The sequence below is a fragment of the Homo sapiens genome, chromosome 14, assembly GCF_000001405.40.
Source record: "Homo sapiens chromosome 14, GRCh38.p14 Primary Assembly".
Taxonomy (NCBI): domain Eukaryota; kingdom Metazoa; phylum Chordata; class Mammalia; order Primates; family Hominidae; genus Homo; species Homo sapiens.
In genome coordinates, this window is record NC_000014.9 from 40,345,363 (window position 1) to 40,362,191 (window position 16,829).

A 16,829-nucleotide genomic window follows, 5' to 3' on the forward strand; every position below is an offset into this window, starting at 1 on the left:
TCTTTTATATATGTATCAAAAGATACACAGAGAAAGATTTATAGCAGCCTATTTGCACTAGCCCCAATTTGGAAGCAACCCAATTGTATATCAACAGTAGAATGGATAAGTAAATTATGGTATATTTTGACCTGTAATGGAATGCTAAAGGGCAATAAGAATGCATGAACTGCTTTATTCAGGAAGTATGAATCTTGCAGATATTGAGCTGGACAAACTGTATGCAGGAAAGTGCATCACTCTATGATTCAATTTATATCAATTATAGAAAAGGCATATGTAAGTGATAGAATTCAGGATAGAGGTTACTCTTGACAACGAAGGAAAAGAAACTAGAGGGCCATTTGAGGGCCTCTTTGTGCTGAGAGTTCTGGGTCATATTTCTATGAGTATGTGCAGTTTGTGAACATTTACTGAACTGTACTTTTGTGATTTTTTTGTACTTCTCTCTATATATGATATATTTCAATTTGCATTATGTTTAAAAAAGTAATCTTTAACTTTGTAGGGTAGGGTTTAAATAATTTGACTTAATTTTTTTTTTTTTTTTTTTTTTCCTGAGACAGAGTCTCGCTCTGTCGCCCAGGCTGGAGTGCAGTGGCACCATCTCCACTCACTGCAAGCTCCGCCTCCTGGGTTCATGCCATTCTTCTGCCTCAGCCTCCCGAGTAGCTGGGACTACAGGCACCCGCCATCGCGCCCGGCTAATTTTTTGTATTATTAGTAGAAACGGGGTTTCACCGTGCTAGCCAGGATGGTCTCGATCTCCTGACCTCGTGATCCACCCGCCTCGGCCTCCCAAAGTGCTGGGATTACAGGCGTGAGCCACCGCGCCCGGCCTTGACTTAACTTTTGATTGGCATTAAATCTGAGCATGCTTTGAGAAAGTCTTTGTTTAAGGGTAATACTTCAAATAATCTATCTGTTAATAAATTTAATTTGTATCTTAAATGCTGAAATCAAGCTTTACACTGGTAGAGATAGAACGAAAGTAGAGACTAGCAATAGAATAGAGAGTACATGATGTGACTACAGATTATTCAGTTTAAATTGTGATACTGAGAGGCTTCTTGTCAGCCTGAACTTTGATGCTGACAGTAATTTCAAGCAATTTACTCTAAGTTTTTCCAAAGTGCACTGTACTTGCGGTCTCATGGGTATTATAACACATTAATTTTATTCATTTTCCCCACAAGATGAAGGCAATATATGTTTGAAAAATCTACTATGTTAATTTGTGTAGTGCTTTAAAACTTTCACCTTGAATACATGCAAATTTAATTTAAATTAAAATGTACAGTTAAAGTTGGATTTCGGATTTTTGTAATTTTGATTTAGTTTGTCCCTCCAGAAAACACATTTCTAATTAAGGAAGATATTGCTTGGTGGTGGTTTTGCATCGAATGCTCATAAGACAACTCTAATCTGGGTTATAACTTTTGACAAGCATTAGTTTCTATTCTATAGTAGTCTGACAGCTATGAGATTAGGAAAAAGTATTTCATCTTGAGAATACATTCTTAGTTCATTGATGCTTATTTCTGATACTTGTAAGCCAAATGACAAGTAAGCATTGTACTTCAATGGCCTCATTTTAAGAAATTTTTCTCTGCTTCTAAGAATATTAGTTATTGAATGCATAGAATTCATGAGTCATCCATCCATAATAATCCAGAGTAGTGTGAAAAAACAGGGAATTATCTACTAAATTGAAAAGAAAAGACGATCCTACTATTTTTTTCTATACTAGGTTAAAGTCATGACACTAAGATTTTATACAATCAGTCTAGTAAATTATGATCAGTATATTTAAAAATTAAACAGATGAATAAAAATTATGAGATGCATCACATGTATTAAGATTAAAGATTTTTATGTGAAAAAAATGTTTCCTTACACACATACACACAGACATAAACGCACATATTTATTACTTGGCTGCTCTTTAAAATATAAATCTTAGTGTTATCATCTAAAATGTTTTAAAAGCACTGCATTACTGGCGTAAAAAATAGCATATGGAAAATACAGAGACAAGACAAAACACTATATTCAAGTAACTATAATTAGTTTGGTGTGTCTAGATTGTAGAATACATTGTGGTAGGGAAATAAATTGAGAGAATATGTAGAAAGAAGCACCCATGATATATTTTTAATGCTCTATGAGGAATTTGTGCTTTAAAAATTTGTTTTATCAGTAGGTCATGATGCTTCTCTGAAAATACAGACTGCTCTTTTCTTCAATCACACATAAAGGTTATATTTTTAACAGTGTGGTGAAGTTAAGAGGCAGTGATGTTCTTAATATTTTATGTCTCATTCTAGGAATTCAGGGATTTCAACACAAGATGATGTGAGTAATTTTTTTTTTAGCCTGTATACCTAGTGGAAAGGGACATTGTATGCCAGGGACAGCTGACACCTATCAAATAAAATGAGACAGACGTGAGCAGGTGAGGGGAGAGATACAATCCTTAAGCTCCAAAGTAGTTTACCTGAAGAGGAAGAGACTCACCTAGAGGAAGAAGGAGAGTGCTTCAAGTTGGTTTCGGAGCACATGAGACCTGCTGGTGAGAATGAATGATTTGAGATGCTCCCTGTATGCCACATCCATTTGTTTTTAATCCAATCTCTGGAATAATTTGGATCAAAAGTTATAGAATGAGGACTATAGAAAGTAAGAAAAATCATCCGGGTGGAGGAGCCAAGATGGCCGAATAGGAACAGCTCCGGTCTACGGCTCCCAGCGTGAGCGACGCAGAAGACAGGTGATTTCTGCATTTCCATCTGAGGTACCAGGTTCATCTCACTAGGGAGTGCCAGACAGTTGGCGCAGGTCAGTGGGTGCCTGCACCGTGCGCGAGCCTAAGCAGGGCGAGGCATTGCCTCACTTGGGAAGCGCAAGGGGTCAGCCAGTTCCCTTTTTGAGTCAAAGAAAGGGGTGACGGACGGCACCTGGAAAATCGGGTCACTCCCACCCGAATACTGCGCTTTTACGACGGGCTTAAAAAACGGCGCACGACGAGATTATATCCGGCACCTGGCTTGGAGGGTCCTACGCCCACAGAGTCGCGCTGATTGCTAGCACAGCAGTCTGAGATCAAACTGCAAGGCGGCAGCGAGGCTGGGGGAGGGGCGCCTGCCATTGCCCAGGCTTGATTAGGTAAACAAAGCAGCCTGGAAGCTCGAACTGGGTGGAGCCCACCACAGCTCAAGGAGTCCTGCCTGCCTCTGTAGGCTCCACCTCTGGGGGCGGGGCACAGACAAAAAGACAGCAGTAACCTCTGCAGACTTAAATGTCCCTGTCTGACAGCTTTGAAGAGAGCACTGGTTCTCCCAGCATGCAGCTGGAGATCTGAGAACCAGCAGACTGCCTCCTCAAGTGGGTCCCTGACCCCTGACCCCCAGGCAGCCTAACTGGGAGGCACCCCCCAGCAGGGGCACACTGACACCTCACAAGGCAGGGTATTCCAACAGACCTGCAGCTGAGGGTCCTCTCTGTTAGAAGGAAAACTAACAAACAGAAAGGACATCCACACCAAAAACCCATCTATACATCACCATCATCATCAAAGACCAAAAGTAGATAAAACCACAAAGATGGGGAAAAAAACAGAACAGAAAGCTGGAAACTCTAAAAAGCAGAGCACCTCTCCTCCTCCAAAGGAACGCAGTTCCTCACCAGCAATGGAACACAGCTGGATGGAGAATGACTTTGACGAGCTGAGAGAAGAAGGCTTCAGACGATCAAATTACTCTGAGCTACGGGAGGACATTCAAACCAAAGGCAAAGAAGTTGAAAACTTTGAAAAAAATTTAGAAGAATGTATAACTAGAATAACCAATACAGGGAAGTGCTTAAAGGAGCTGATGGAGCTGAAAACCAAGGCTCGAGAACTACGTGAAGAATGCAGAAGCCTCAGGAGCCAATGCGATCAACTGGAAGAAAGGGTATCAGCAATGGAAGATGAAATGAATGAAATGAAGGGAGAAGGGAAGTATAGAGAAAAAAGAATAAAAAGAAATGAGCAAAGCCTCCAAGAAATATGGGACTATGTGAAAAGACCAAATCTACGTCTGATTGGTGTACCTGAAAGTGACGGGGAGAATGGAACCAAGTTGGAAAACACTCTGCAGGATATTATCCAGGAGAACTTCCCCAATCTAGCAAGGCAGGCCAACGTTCAGATTCAGGAAATACAGAGAACGCCACAAAGATACTCCTCGAGAAGAGCAACTCCAAGACACATAATTGTCAGATTCACCAAAGTTGAAATGAAGGAAAAAATGTTAAGGGCAGCCAAAGAGAAAGGTCGGGTTACCCTCAAAGGGAAGCCCATCAGACTAACAGCAGATCTCTCGGCAGAAACCCTACAAGCCAGAAGAGAGTGGGGGCCAATATTCAACATTCTTAAAGAAAAGAATTTTCAACCCAGAATTTCATATCCAGCCACACTAAGCTTCATAAGTGAAGGAGAAATAAAATCCTTTACAGACAAGCAAATGCTGAGAGATTTTGTCACCACCAGGCCTGCCTTACAAGAGCTCCTGAAGGAAGCACTAAACATGGAAAGGAACAACCGGTACCAGCCACTGCAAAATCATGCCAAAATGTAAAGACCATCGAGACTAGGAATAAACTGCATCAACTAACGAGCAAAATCACCAGCTAACATCATAATGACAGGATCAAATTCACACATAACAATATTAACTTTAAATGTAAATGGACTAAATTCTCCAATTAAAAGACACAGACTGGCAAATTGGATAAAGAGTCAAGACCCATCAGTGTGCTGTATTCAGGAAACCCATCTCACTTGCAGAGACACACATAGGCTCAAAATAAAAGGATGGAGGAAGATCTACCAAGCCAATAGAAAACAAAAAAAGGCAGGGGTTGCAATCCTAGTCTCTGATAAAACAGACTTTAAACCAACAAAGATCAAAAGAGACAAAGAAGGCCATTACATAATGGTAAAGGGATCAATTCAACAAGAAGAGCTAACTATCCTAAATATATATGCACCCAATACAGGGGCACCCAGATTCATAAAGCAAGTCCTGAGTGACCTACAAGAGACTTAGACTCCCACACATTAATAATGGGAGACTTTAACACCCCACTGTCAACATTAGACAGATCAACGAGACAGAAAGTCAACAAGGATACCCAGGAATTGAACTCAGCTCTGCACCAAGCAGACCTAATAGACATCTACAGAACTCTCCACCCCAAATCAACAGAATATACATTTTTTTCAGCACCACACCACACCTATTCCAAAATTGACCACATACTGGGAAGTAAAGCTCTCCTCAGCAAATGTAAAAGAACAGAAATTATAACAAACTCTCTCTCAGACCACAGTGCAATCAAACTAGAACTCAGGATTAAGAATCTCACTCAAAACCGCTCTACTACATGGAAAGTGAACAACCTGCTCCTGAATGACTACTGGGTACATAATGAAATGAAGGCAGAAATAAAGATGTTCTTTGAAACCAACGAGAACAAAGACACAACATACCAGAATCTCTGGGACGCATTCAAAGCAGTGTGTAGAGGGAAATTTATAGCACTAAATGCCCACAAGAGAAAGCAGGAAAGATCCAAAATTGACACCCTAACATCACAATTAAAAGAACTAGAAAAGCAAGAGCAAACACATTCAAAAGCTAGCAGAAGGCAAGAAATAACTAAAATCAGAGCAGAACTGAAGGAAATAGAGACACAAAAAACCCTTCAAAAAATTAATGAATCCAGGAGCTGGTTTTTTGAAAGGCTCAACAAAATTGATAGACCGCTAGCAAGACTAAGAAAGAAAAAAAGAGAGAAGAATCAAATAGATGCAATAAAAAATGATAAAGGGGATATCACCACTGATCCCACAGAAATACAAACTACCATCAGAGAATACTACAAACACCTCTACGCAAATAAACTAGAAAATCTAGAAGAAATGGATAAATTCCTGGACACATACACTCTCCCAAGACTAAACCAGGAAGAAGTTGAATCTCTGAATAGACCAATAACAGGAGCTGAAATTCTGGCAATAATCAATAGTTTACCAACCAAAAAGAGTCCAGGACCAGATGGATTCACAGCCGAATTCTACCAGAGGTACAAGGAGGAACTGGTACCATTCCTTCTGAAACTATTCCAATCAATAGAAAAAGAGGGAATCCTCCCTAACTCATTTTATGAGGCCAGCATCATTCTGATACCAAAGCCAGGCAGAGACACAACAAAAAAAAGAGAATTTTAGACCAATATCCTTGATGAACATTGATGCAAAAATCCTCAATAAAATACTGGCAAACCGAATCCAGCAGCACATCAAAAAGCTTATCCACCATGATCAAGTGGGCTTCATCCCTGGGATGCAAGGCTGGTTGAATATATGCAAATCAATAAATGTAATCCAGCATATAAACAGAGCCAAAGACAAAAACCACATGATTATCTCAATAGATGCAGAAAAAGCCTTTGACAAAATTCAACAACCCTTCATGCTAAAAACTCTCAATAAATTAGGTATTGATGGGATGTATTTCAAAATAATAAGAGCTATCTATGACAAACCCACAGCCAATATCATACTGAATGGGCAAAAACTGGAAGCATTCCCTTTGGAAACTGGCACAAGACAGGGATGCCCTCTCTCACCACTCCTATTCAACATAGTGTTGGAAGTTCTGGCCAGGGCAATTAGGCAGGAGAAGGAAATAAAGGGTATTCAATTAGGAAAAGAGGAAGTCAAATTGTCCCTGTTTGCAGATGACATGATTGTATATCTAGAAAACCCCATTGTCTCAGCCCAAAATCTCCTTAAGCTGATAAGCAACTTCAGCAAAGTCTCAGGATACAAAATCAATGTGCAAAAATCACAAGCATTCTTATACACCAACAACAGACAAACAGAGAGACAAATCATGAGTGAACTCCCATTCACAATTGCTTCAAAGAGAAAATACCTAGGAATCCAACTTACAAGGGATGTGAAGGACCTCTTCAAGGAGAACTACAAACCACTGCTCAAGGAAATAAAAGAGGATACAAACAAATGGAAGAACATTCCATGCTCATGGGTAGGAAGAATCAATATCGTGAAAATGGCCATACTGCCCAAGGTAATTTACAGATTCAATGCCATCCCCATCAAGCTACCAATGACTTTCTTCACAGAATTGGAAAAACCTACTTTAAAGTTCATATGGAACCAAAAAAGAGCCCGCATCGCCAAGTCAATCCTAAGCCAAAAGAACAAAGCTGGAGGCATCACACTACCTGACTTCAAACTATACTACAAGGCTACAGTAACCAAAACAGCATGGTACTGGTACCAAAACAGAGATATAGATCAACGGAACAGAACAGAGACCTCAGAAATAACGCCGTATATCTACAACTATCTGATCTTTGATAAACCTGAGAAAAATAAGCAATGGGGAAAGGATTCCCTATTTAATAAATAGTGCTGGGAAAACTGGCTAGCCATATGTAGAAAGCTGAAACTGGATCCCTTCCTTACACCTTATACAAAAATCAATTCAAATGGATTAAAGACTTAAACGTTAGACCTAAAACCATAAAAACCCTAGAAGAAAACCTAGGCATTACCATTCAGGACATAGGCATGGGCAAGGACTTCATGTCTAAAACACCAACAGCAATGGCAACAAAAGCCAAAATTGACAAATGGGATCTAATTAAACTAAAGAGCTTCTGCATAGCAAAAGAAACTACCATCAGAGTGAACAGGCAACCTACAAAATGGGAGAAAATTTTCACAACCTACTCATCTGACAAAGGGCTAATATCCAGAATCTACAATGAACTCAAACAAACTTACAAGAAAAAAACAAACAACCCCATCAAAAAGTGGGCAAAGGACTTGAACAGACACTTCTCAAAAGAAGACATTTATGCAGCCAAAAAACACATGAAAAAATGCTCATCATCACTTGCCATCAGAGAAATGCAAATCAAAACCACAATGAGATACCATCTCACACCAGTTAGAATGGCAATCTTTAAAAAGTCAGGAAAAAACAGGTGCTGGAGAGGATGTGGAGAAATAGAAACACTTTTACACTCTTGGTGGGACTGTAAACTAGTTCAACCATTGTGGAAGTCAGTGTGGCGATTCCTCAGGGTTCTAGATCTGGAAATACCATTTGACCCAGCCATCCCATTACTGGGTATATACCCAAATGACTATAAATCATGCTGCTATAAAGACACATGCACACGTATGTTTATTGCGGCATTATTCACAATAGCAAAGATTTGGACCCAACCCAAATGTCCAACAATGATAGACTGGATTAAGAAAATGGGGCACATATACACCATGGAATACTATGCAGCCACAAAAAATGATGAGTTCATGTCCTTTGTAGGGACATGGATGAAATTGGAAATCATCATTCTCAGTAAAGTATCGCAAGAACAAAAAAACAAACACTGCATATTCTCACTCATAGGTGGGAATTGAACAATGAGAATACATGGACACAGGAAGGGGAATATTACACTCTGGTGACTGTTGTGGGGTGGGGGGAGGGGCTAGGGATAGCATCAGGTGATATACCTAATGCTAGATGACGAGTTAGTGGGTGCAGCGCACCAGCATGGCACATGTATACATATGTAACTAACCTGCACAATGTGCAGATGTACCCTAAAACTTAAAGTATAATAAAAAAATATATTAAATAAATAAATAAATAAATAAAAGTGCTTTAGCTAAAAACAAACAAAAAAAAAAGAAGTATTTGGTCTAAGAATAAGGACCTTCCCCCATCTTGACCACAAAAGCACTCTGCAGCTAGACAAATACATTAATGGGAATCAATATTGAATTAAAAATCATTTAACTTGTAAAAAAAAAAAAAGAAAAAAAGAAAAATCATCCAAGTACATGTACGTGGCTGTAAGAAACTAGTAGGCCCCTACTTTAACTCTATTAAATACCTTTAGTTGAATAATATTATAATTATAGAACCAAAACATAGGATTTTGACAAATATTTTTATTTTTGCGCTGAGAAGATATGCAAAGTTAAGGATAACTGGAAGAGTTGCCTTATAAGGCAGCAGCAGAAATAGCATCTAAGGCCAGGAGAAGAGAGGAAGTGATCCTGGGTGTACCTGACCATAGGCATAATAAATAACAGAGAGAAAGGGACAGGAGAAGTGCATGGAAATGGGACCAGTATTCATTCATTTATTTATCAGTCATTTGTGGCACAAAGGATAATTATGTGGTACGTTTAACTCAATATTATTAGTTAAACCTTAATCTACAAGGAGCTTCAAAGTCATCGTGTTTTTTAATTACTCCTGCTCAGCATCAATCTAAATATTATTAATAAAAAACATTGCTGTTGAGTATCTAATCAAATCCTCTGCACTGCAGTATATGATCCATTCCCTCATGGAAAATTTCTGTTTTGAAAACTGTTCCATTTGTTCATTTAGAGATGTTGCATTAAGCTTAAGCCTAAACCTAAGCCATTCTATTATATTTATTTGAATTGTTTCACTTTTGCATATCAATGTGTCCATTTAACTTTTATTGTGTTAATGGAGATTACTTACCTGAATATGTGAAACTTTTGCATCGTGATGTCTTAAGAGCAGCGGTCTCTTATGCACAATTACCAGCTGAGCCTTCAGCAAACCAGCTGGCATACTCTGTAGACAAAAGGAGATATCAACACCTCAATTTGGCTATATTTCTGTTTGATATGGGCTGGAAATATTGTAAAAAATCTATATATATCCATATATAAATATATAAAAATAAATTTAAACATATCTTAGCTCAATGAGTATAATATTGTAAGTATTAAATCAAAAGTCAAGATCTTGACAAAAATGTTCATGTCTCAATGGAGCAGACAAAATCAAGGATAACTGGAAGATTTGCCTTGTGAAGCAGCAACAGAAAAATGATCTAAAGCCAGGAATGGAGAAGTGAATATCTATCTATCTATCTAACTTACACATTCTTGTCAAAGTCATATTTACAGTCACTTCATAGATTGACACACACACAAAAAAAACCAGGACCTTTACTAAATGACAGGTGTATATACTTTTTTTGTCAAAACAAATTTCCTTGCCCTGTATTGCTAATTTTTAATTCATTTATGGTACTCATCAGATTGACATTGATTCACCCTATCATCCTCCTTAGTTGAGACCCCATTTTTTTCTATATTTTAGTCTACTATTTGAATATCTTTTCTTCTCACCATAAATACACATTAACACAAATTAACTGCTTAATCTGCCCATCCTTCATTTCTACCTTTATTTAGAGCTATATATGTCCGTAAGCATTAAAGTTGTGTTGTATGTGCTTTTAAATATATATGTACAATACATATTTAATACACACATTCTACTGCAACTTGCTTTTTCACTCAGCAATTTTTATTTACAATCTAGTGGAAAGAGAATGGTGAGAACAGCAGGAGGTATTTGAGTGTTACCTTAAGGTTCAAGCTTCTCTGAGATTGCAAACTACCTCTCCCTACAAAAAAGTCAAGATATTTATGCATCAATACCCCTTAGCAATGTGACTGTTGGTAATCACATCAAAAGGTGAGTTTTACCTCTCAATCCCTTAAATCAAACTTTGACCATGTAACTTGCTTTGACTAATGGGACCTTAGCAAATGTGACATAAGAAGGGGCATGAAAAGCGCTAGTGCACTAGACATTGGCTTCTCTTGCTACTTTTAGAACTCAGACACTAAGGGAAGAAGCCTGACTTTGTTAGGTACTGGACATGTGACCTATTTGCCTCTGTCACTCTAACCAAACATCATACATGTGAATGAAGCCATCCAGACTGATCATCTTCAGCCAGCCAGCCAGCTGAGATGAGCAGAAGAATCCACAGCTATGCGCATCCCACATTGCCAATATACAGTACCAAGGGACAAATTATTGTGATTTTATGCTATTAAAGTTCTAAGTGTATATCGCATATTGTAGCAAAAGTTAGACAGTACATGTCTACTACTTATCTCTACCATTTGTATTTCTCTCTGTGATATTGAGCTTTATTTTTAGCACATGGTAGAAATTTTCATTGTTTTATGTTTCTTTTTCTTTCTTTTCTTTTCTTTTCTTTTTTTTTTTTTTTGGAGACAACATGTTCCTGTATTGCCCAAGCTGTTCTTAAACTCCCAGATTCAAGCACTCCTCCTGCCTTGGTCTTCCAAAGTGCTGGGATTACTAGCATGAACCGTCTCACTTTGTCTTATTTTGCAATTTAATAACTGTTTTTAGATAACAGTCCATGGATTCATGGAAAAAAAGTACCTATTTAAAAAACTTAAATGTCTCATTCTGGTTTCAAATGAGTAAGCATGGACTGAAATTATGTCTTTCTTGCCAGAAGCACCCCACCTCCAAAAAAAAAAGCCAGCAAATCACACTGTCAAAATGTCTGGTCCATATCTTAATATAGGGTGAATATATGACCATTTATCTGGCTCTGGACTACTAAGTAGAGATTTAAGACCTTGTAGACATTTTCCAGGAATGTAGGAAAAGATAATATAAAGTATAAAAAGATAAAAATGAATAGAGGAAGAAATGGAGGGAAGAAAGTGGAGGGTGAAGAATGGGAGACAGAGATGAAAAAGAGAGAAAATCAAGAGAAACAAATTATTGAGCATCTAGATAAGGCTTCTAGGTTATATAAGCTGTCTAGGTTTGCTAGGGATGCTGTAACACAATACCACAGACTGGGTAATATATAAACAGTAAAAATGTATTTCTCATAGTAGTAGAAGCTTGGTAATTTAAGATTAAGGAACCAACAGATTTGGTGTTTCGTGAGGGCTGCTCTCTCCTTCCAAAATGGTGCCTCCCTTCTGTGTCCTCACATAATGGAAGGGCAAAAGGGAGGAATGGTGTATCCCCACATGGCAGAAGAGATGAAAGAATCAGGCAGCTCTCTGAAGCCACTTTTATAAGAGCATTAATCCCATTCATAAAAGCAGAGCCCTCATCCTCTAATAACCTCTCAAAATCTCTACCTCTTAATACCATCACCTTGGGGTTTAAGTTCTCGCATATGAATTTTGGAGGGACACATACACTCAAGCCACAGCATAAGTCAATGCATTCTCTTATTTTGCTTATGAGAGTGTAAAATGAACTTCTCTCACAGGACTCTAAAAACATAGAGTCAAGCAGAAAATTGGTACTTGGATGTAGGTGTTTAAAAGGACAGACAGTGGCTGAGTACAGTGGCTCATGCTTGTAATTCCAATGCTTTGGGAGGCCAGGATAGGAGGATTGCTTGAGGCAAGGAGTTGGAGGCTACAGTGAGCTTTGATAGTGTCACTGGAGTATAGCTTGGGTGACAGAGCAAGCCTATCTCTAAAATAGTAAAAAATAATATGAATAATAATAAATAAAAGAAAAAAGTGACACAATGGAGATAAGATTAATGAATTACTCCCTAACTGTATCTATCTATATCATTTAACATTGCTGTATTTGACTTTCATTACATTTGTTTAATTATAAATTTGAAAACCAAATTAATTTTAGTTATGATTATTGTTGTTTATTAATAAACACTATTGAAAAATATTTTTCTCTGAGTATAGTTTTGGGGAAAATCCTGTAAGCTTTGTCAGGTTTTTTTCATATTATATCCCTGAAAACTGCAATTTACAATTGGATTTATACTTTTAATTTAAAACTTAGTTAATGTATTGTCATAGTTTTTTATTTAATAAAAAATTAAATATTATATGTTTTTCTTTGAGAATGTTATGTTGGAAAAATTCTATGAAACTTGATGGTTTGTTCTCATTATTTTTTATTTTAAAAATTTCTGTAAAGTTTAGATTTACTCATTGATCCCATTAGATGGATTATTTTTCCCTAAACAATCTTTTGTTTATAGTTTTGTGATTAATTTTGTTGCTTGCATTACTTTATATTTTTAGAATTAGTCAATTTTATGTAAATATTCCACCTACACAAGAAAGCTAACTGTTTCTTAGAGGCAGAGTTTGATATATTTTTACTTAATACAAAATATATTGTTTTGCTCATATGACATAAATTCTCAGTATTTTTTTACACTTAATCTGTTGATATGGTTTGGCTGTGTTTCCACCTAATTCTCATCTTGAATTGTAGCTCCCACAATTCCCACATGTAGTAGGAGGGACTCTGTGGGAGGTAGTTGAATGATGGGGCAAATCTTTCTCATGCTGTTCCTGTGATAGTGAATGGGTCTCACATTATCTGATGGTTTTATAAAGAAGAGTTCCCCTGCACACACTCTCTTCCCTGCTGCCATGTAGTATGTGACTTACTCCTCCTTGCCTTCTGCCATGATTGTGAGGCTGCCCCAGCCACGTGGAACTGTGAGTCCATTAAACCTCTTTTTCTTTATAAATTACCCAGTCTCGGGTATGTCTTTATCAGCAGTGTGAAAATGGACTAATACAGTAAATTGGTACTGGTAGAGTGGGGTGCTACTGTAAAGATACCTGAAAATGTGGAAGCGACTTTGGAACTGGGTAACAGGCAGAGGTTGGAACAGTTTTGGAGGGCTCAGAGGGAGACAGGAAAATGTGGGAAAGGTTGGAACTTCCTAGAGACTTGTTGAGTGGCTTTGACCAAAATGCTGATAATGATATGGACAATGAAATCCAGACTGAGGTGGTCTCAGATGGAAATGAGGAACTTATTGGGAACTGGAGTAAAGGTGATTTTTGCTATGTGTTAGCAAAGACACTGGTGGCATTTTGCACCTGCCCTAGAGATCTGTGGAACTTTGAACTCAAAGGGGATGATTTAGGTTATATGGTGGAATAAATTTCTAAGCAGCAAAGCATTCAAGAGATAACTTGTGTGCTGTTAAAAGCATTCAATTTTAAAAGGGAAACAGAGCATAAAAGTTCAGAAAATATGTAACCTGACCATGCAATTGAAAAGAAAAACCCATTTTCTGAAGAGAAATTCAAGCTGGCTGCAGAAATTTGCATAAGTAACAAGGAGCCAAATGTTAATCACCAAGACAATGGGGAAAATGACTTCAGGGCATGTCACAGATCTTTGTGACAGCCCCTCCCATCACAGGCCTGGAAGCCTAGGAGGAAAAAGTGGTTACATGGGCCAGGCCCAGGACCCCCCTGCTATGTGCAGCCTAGGGACTTGATGCCCTGCATCCCAGCCTGGCAGCTCTAGTCATTGCTAAAATAGGCCAAGGTATAGGTCATGCCTTGGCTTCAGGAGGTGCAAGTCCCAAGCCTTGGCAGCTTCCAAGTGGTGTTGAGCCCGCAGGTGAACAGAAGTCAAGAACTGAGGTTTGGGAACCTCCGCCTAGATTTCACAAGATGCATGGAAATGCATGGATGTCCAAGTAGAAGTTTGTTGCAGGGGTGGGGTCCTCATGGAGAACCTCTGGTTGAAGCCTCCACACAGAGCCCAGACTGGGGCATTGCCTAGTGGAGCTGTGAGAAGAAGGTCACCATCCTTCAGACCTCAGAATGGTAGATTCACTGACAGCTTGCACCATGTGCCTGGGAAAGCTGCAGACACTCAATGCCAGCCTGTGAAAGCAGCCAGGAGGGAGGCTTTACCCTTCAAAGCCACATGGGTGGAGTGGCCCAAGACCATGGGAACCCATCTCTTGCATCAGTATGACCTGGATATGAGACATGAAGTCAAAGGCGATCATTCTGGAACTTTAAGATTTGACTGCCCCTCTGGATTTCGAACTTGCATGGGGCCGGTAGTCTCTTCATTTTGGCCAATTTCTCCCATTTGGAATGGCTTTATTCACCCAATACCTGTACCCCCATTGTATCTAGGAAGCACTAACTTGCTTTTGATTTTACAGGCTCAGTGGCAGAAGGGACTTGCCTTGTCTCAGATGAGACTTTGGACTTGGACTTTTGAGTTAATGCTGAAATGCATTAAGATTTTTGGGGACTGTTGGGAAGGCATGATTGGCTTTGAAATGTGAGGACATGAGATTTGGGAGGGGCCAGGGCAGAATTATATGGTTGGGCTGTGTCCCCATCCAAATCTCATCTTGAATTGTAGCTCCCACAATTCTCATGTGCTGTCTGAGGGACCTGGTGGGAGGTGGTTGAATTACGGGGACAGGTCTTTCCCGTGCTGTTCTTGTGATAGTGAATGAATCTCGTGAGATCTGATGGTTTTATAAAAAGGAGTTCCTCTGTACAAGTTCTCTCTTCACTGCCACCACGTGGGATGTGACTTGCTCCTTTTTGCCTTCTACCATGATTGTGAGGCCTCCCCAGCCAAGTGGAACTGTGAGTCCATTAAACCTATTTTTCTTTATAAATTACCCAGTCTTGGGTATGTCTTTACCAGCAGTGTGAAAACAGACTAATACATCTGTTAAGTACTAAAAATGTATGTTATTATCATCAATATGACTATACAAGTATACTTTTCTGTTTTTTTTGTTTGCTCTTTATATATGTCTATAGGAGAGTACATATGCATTGATGGATTGATAGATCAATTGAGTCATTATTTTGAAAGCCTAATGGTTTCCAGGAGTTATAACTTTACTGTAAACTAATTGCTTCATAGAATTTTTCAATTGAATTCAGGTATTCACATTGCAATTCTTGTTTTTCTGTTGTTTAGTGTCTAATGGAATTTGTTAGCTGTTCTCTAACTTTTAACATTACAGACAAAATTTATTTGTTTTAAAACTTTGTGTGTTCATGTGCACACATGTATTTGCAGGTTAGCTTGTGATTTTAGAAATCATATAGCATATGTGTGTGTATTTTTAAGAAAACACGTAGAGGTCACTTTTATTACTGCATCTAATAATTGATTTTTAAAGATTAATATCAGCCTTGTACATTTATTTTTCACAGCCATATCATTAGTCTTTTATTACATTTCCAACAAGAATCACTAGTGGAGCCTGCTTATTACTAGGTACTTGAGAAAGAGGTTTTTACTAAATGCTAGAAGAAAGCACTTTGAGTTATGGTAAAATGACACAGAAGAAACACTATAAGGATAAATAGACTTGAAGTAAAAAAGGGTCATTAATTCATCCATGTGTGTATTTATTCACCCAATCTTGGTCAAAGGCAAAGGCTACAGTCAGCTCTTCACAGAGCTTACTTTTTAGAGCAGTTGCTGTGAACATTTATAAAGTTCAACTAAAAGGGCTAAATATAAATGAATAACAGAAAAATATCATTTCTATGTAGGCACACTACTGTCCTTAAACTAGTGGTTAACTGAGATTTATATAAATATTCAAAATGGCACATTAGTAGCTTGTTGAAATTTTATTTACTAGGAAATTATGGAAGGAAAAGGTTCAGCGATCAAACGCTCTTACTAAATTTTCAAGATTTTAGGAAAATTTAAGGAGAACACATATATAGTTATTAATAAATAACGTGGAGCATAATTTCCATTTTGAGGGCCTGCCTGAATTCTCAATGTATATTAATTTATTAAAAAATGTGAAGAAAGTAGTCCCAAATCTAGAAACTCTAGTGAACAGGGCCTAGGGGAGATATAAGAGGCTAGACATTCATGGTGCTACATCATCTTCTTAAGATAAGACTCTGTAAGGGTAAATAGAAATCTAAAAAAAAAGGAAAGGAAAAGCAAAACAAAATGGGATTTTTTTCCTAGTGCAGAAAGGGAAAGAGACACCAGGAACTCCCTTTTCTTATAGCATTTACTTGAGAAAACTTGTACAGTAATAGTGAATTCTTCCTCTATCCCTTTGAGAAGTATATGAATCTTTTAAAAAGCTAA

General features: G+C 38.1%; 2 long non-coding RNA genes across 4 annotated transcripts in view, besides 2 other annotated features; one reads left to right on the forward strand and one right to left on the reverse strand.

Annotated features, from left to right (window-relative positions):
• The window catches only part of LOC105370463 (uncharacterized), a 117,571-nt gene extending 114,356 nt beyond the window's left edge, over window positions 1-3,215 (reverse strand). Inside the window, exon 1 of the long non-coding RNA XR_943786.3 lies at window positions 2,518-3,215. This is a non-coding gene — a long non-coding RNA (uncharacterized LOC105370463). The remainder of the gene's footprint in view (window positions 1-2,517) is intronic.
• LOC105370462 (uncharacterized) overlaps window positions 1-16,829 on the forward strand; it is a 72,153-nt gene that overhangs the window by 27,001 nt on the left and 28,323 nt on the right. Inside the window, exon 1 of one of the 3 annotated variants that reach the window (XR_943785.3) lies at window positions 9,894-10,622. The exons of the other annotated variants lie outside the window; for them this stretch is intronic. This is a non-coding gene — a long non-coding RNA (uncharacterized LOC105370462). Of the gene's footprint in view, window positions 1-9,893; window positions 10,623-16,829 lie in introns of those variants that run through there. 3 annotated transcript variants of the gene reach the window in all.
• Window positions 2,287-2,898: an enhancer, noted in NCBI's record as "OCT4-NANOG-H3K27ac-H3K4me1 hESC enhancer chr14:40816853-40817464 (GRCh37/hg19 assembly coordinates)". NCBI's record gives its function as "activates a minimal SCP1, AML or CMV promoter by ChIP-STARR-seq in naive H9 embryonic stem cells {active_cell/tissue: H9 hESC(naive)}" and the evidence as "EXISTENCE:reporter gene assay evidence [ECO:0000049][PMID:30033119]".
• Window positions 2,899-3,509: an enhancer, noted in NCBI's record as "OCT4-NANOG-H3K27ac-H3K4me1 hESC enhancer chr14:40817465-40818075 (GRCh37/hg19 assembly coordinates)". NCBI's record gives its function as "activates a minimal SCP1, AML or CMV promoter by ChIP-STARR-seq in naive H9 embryonic stem cells {active_cell/tissue: H9 hESC(naive)}" and the evidence as "EXISTENCE:reporter gene assay evidence [ECO:0000049][PMID:30033119]".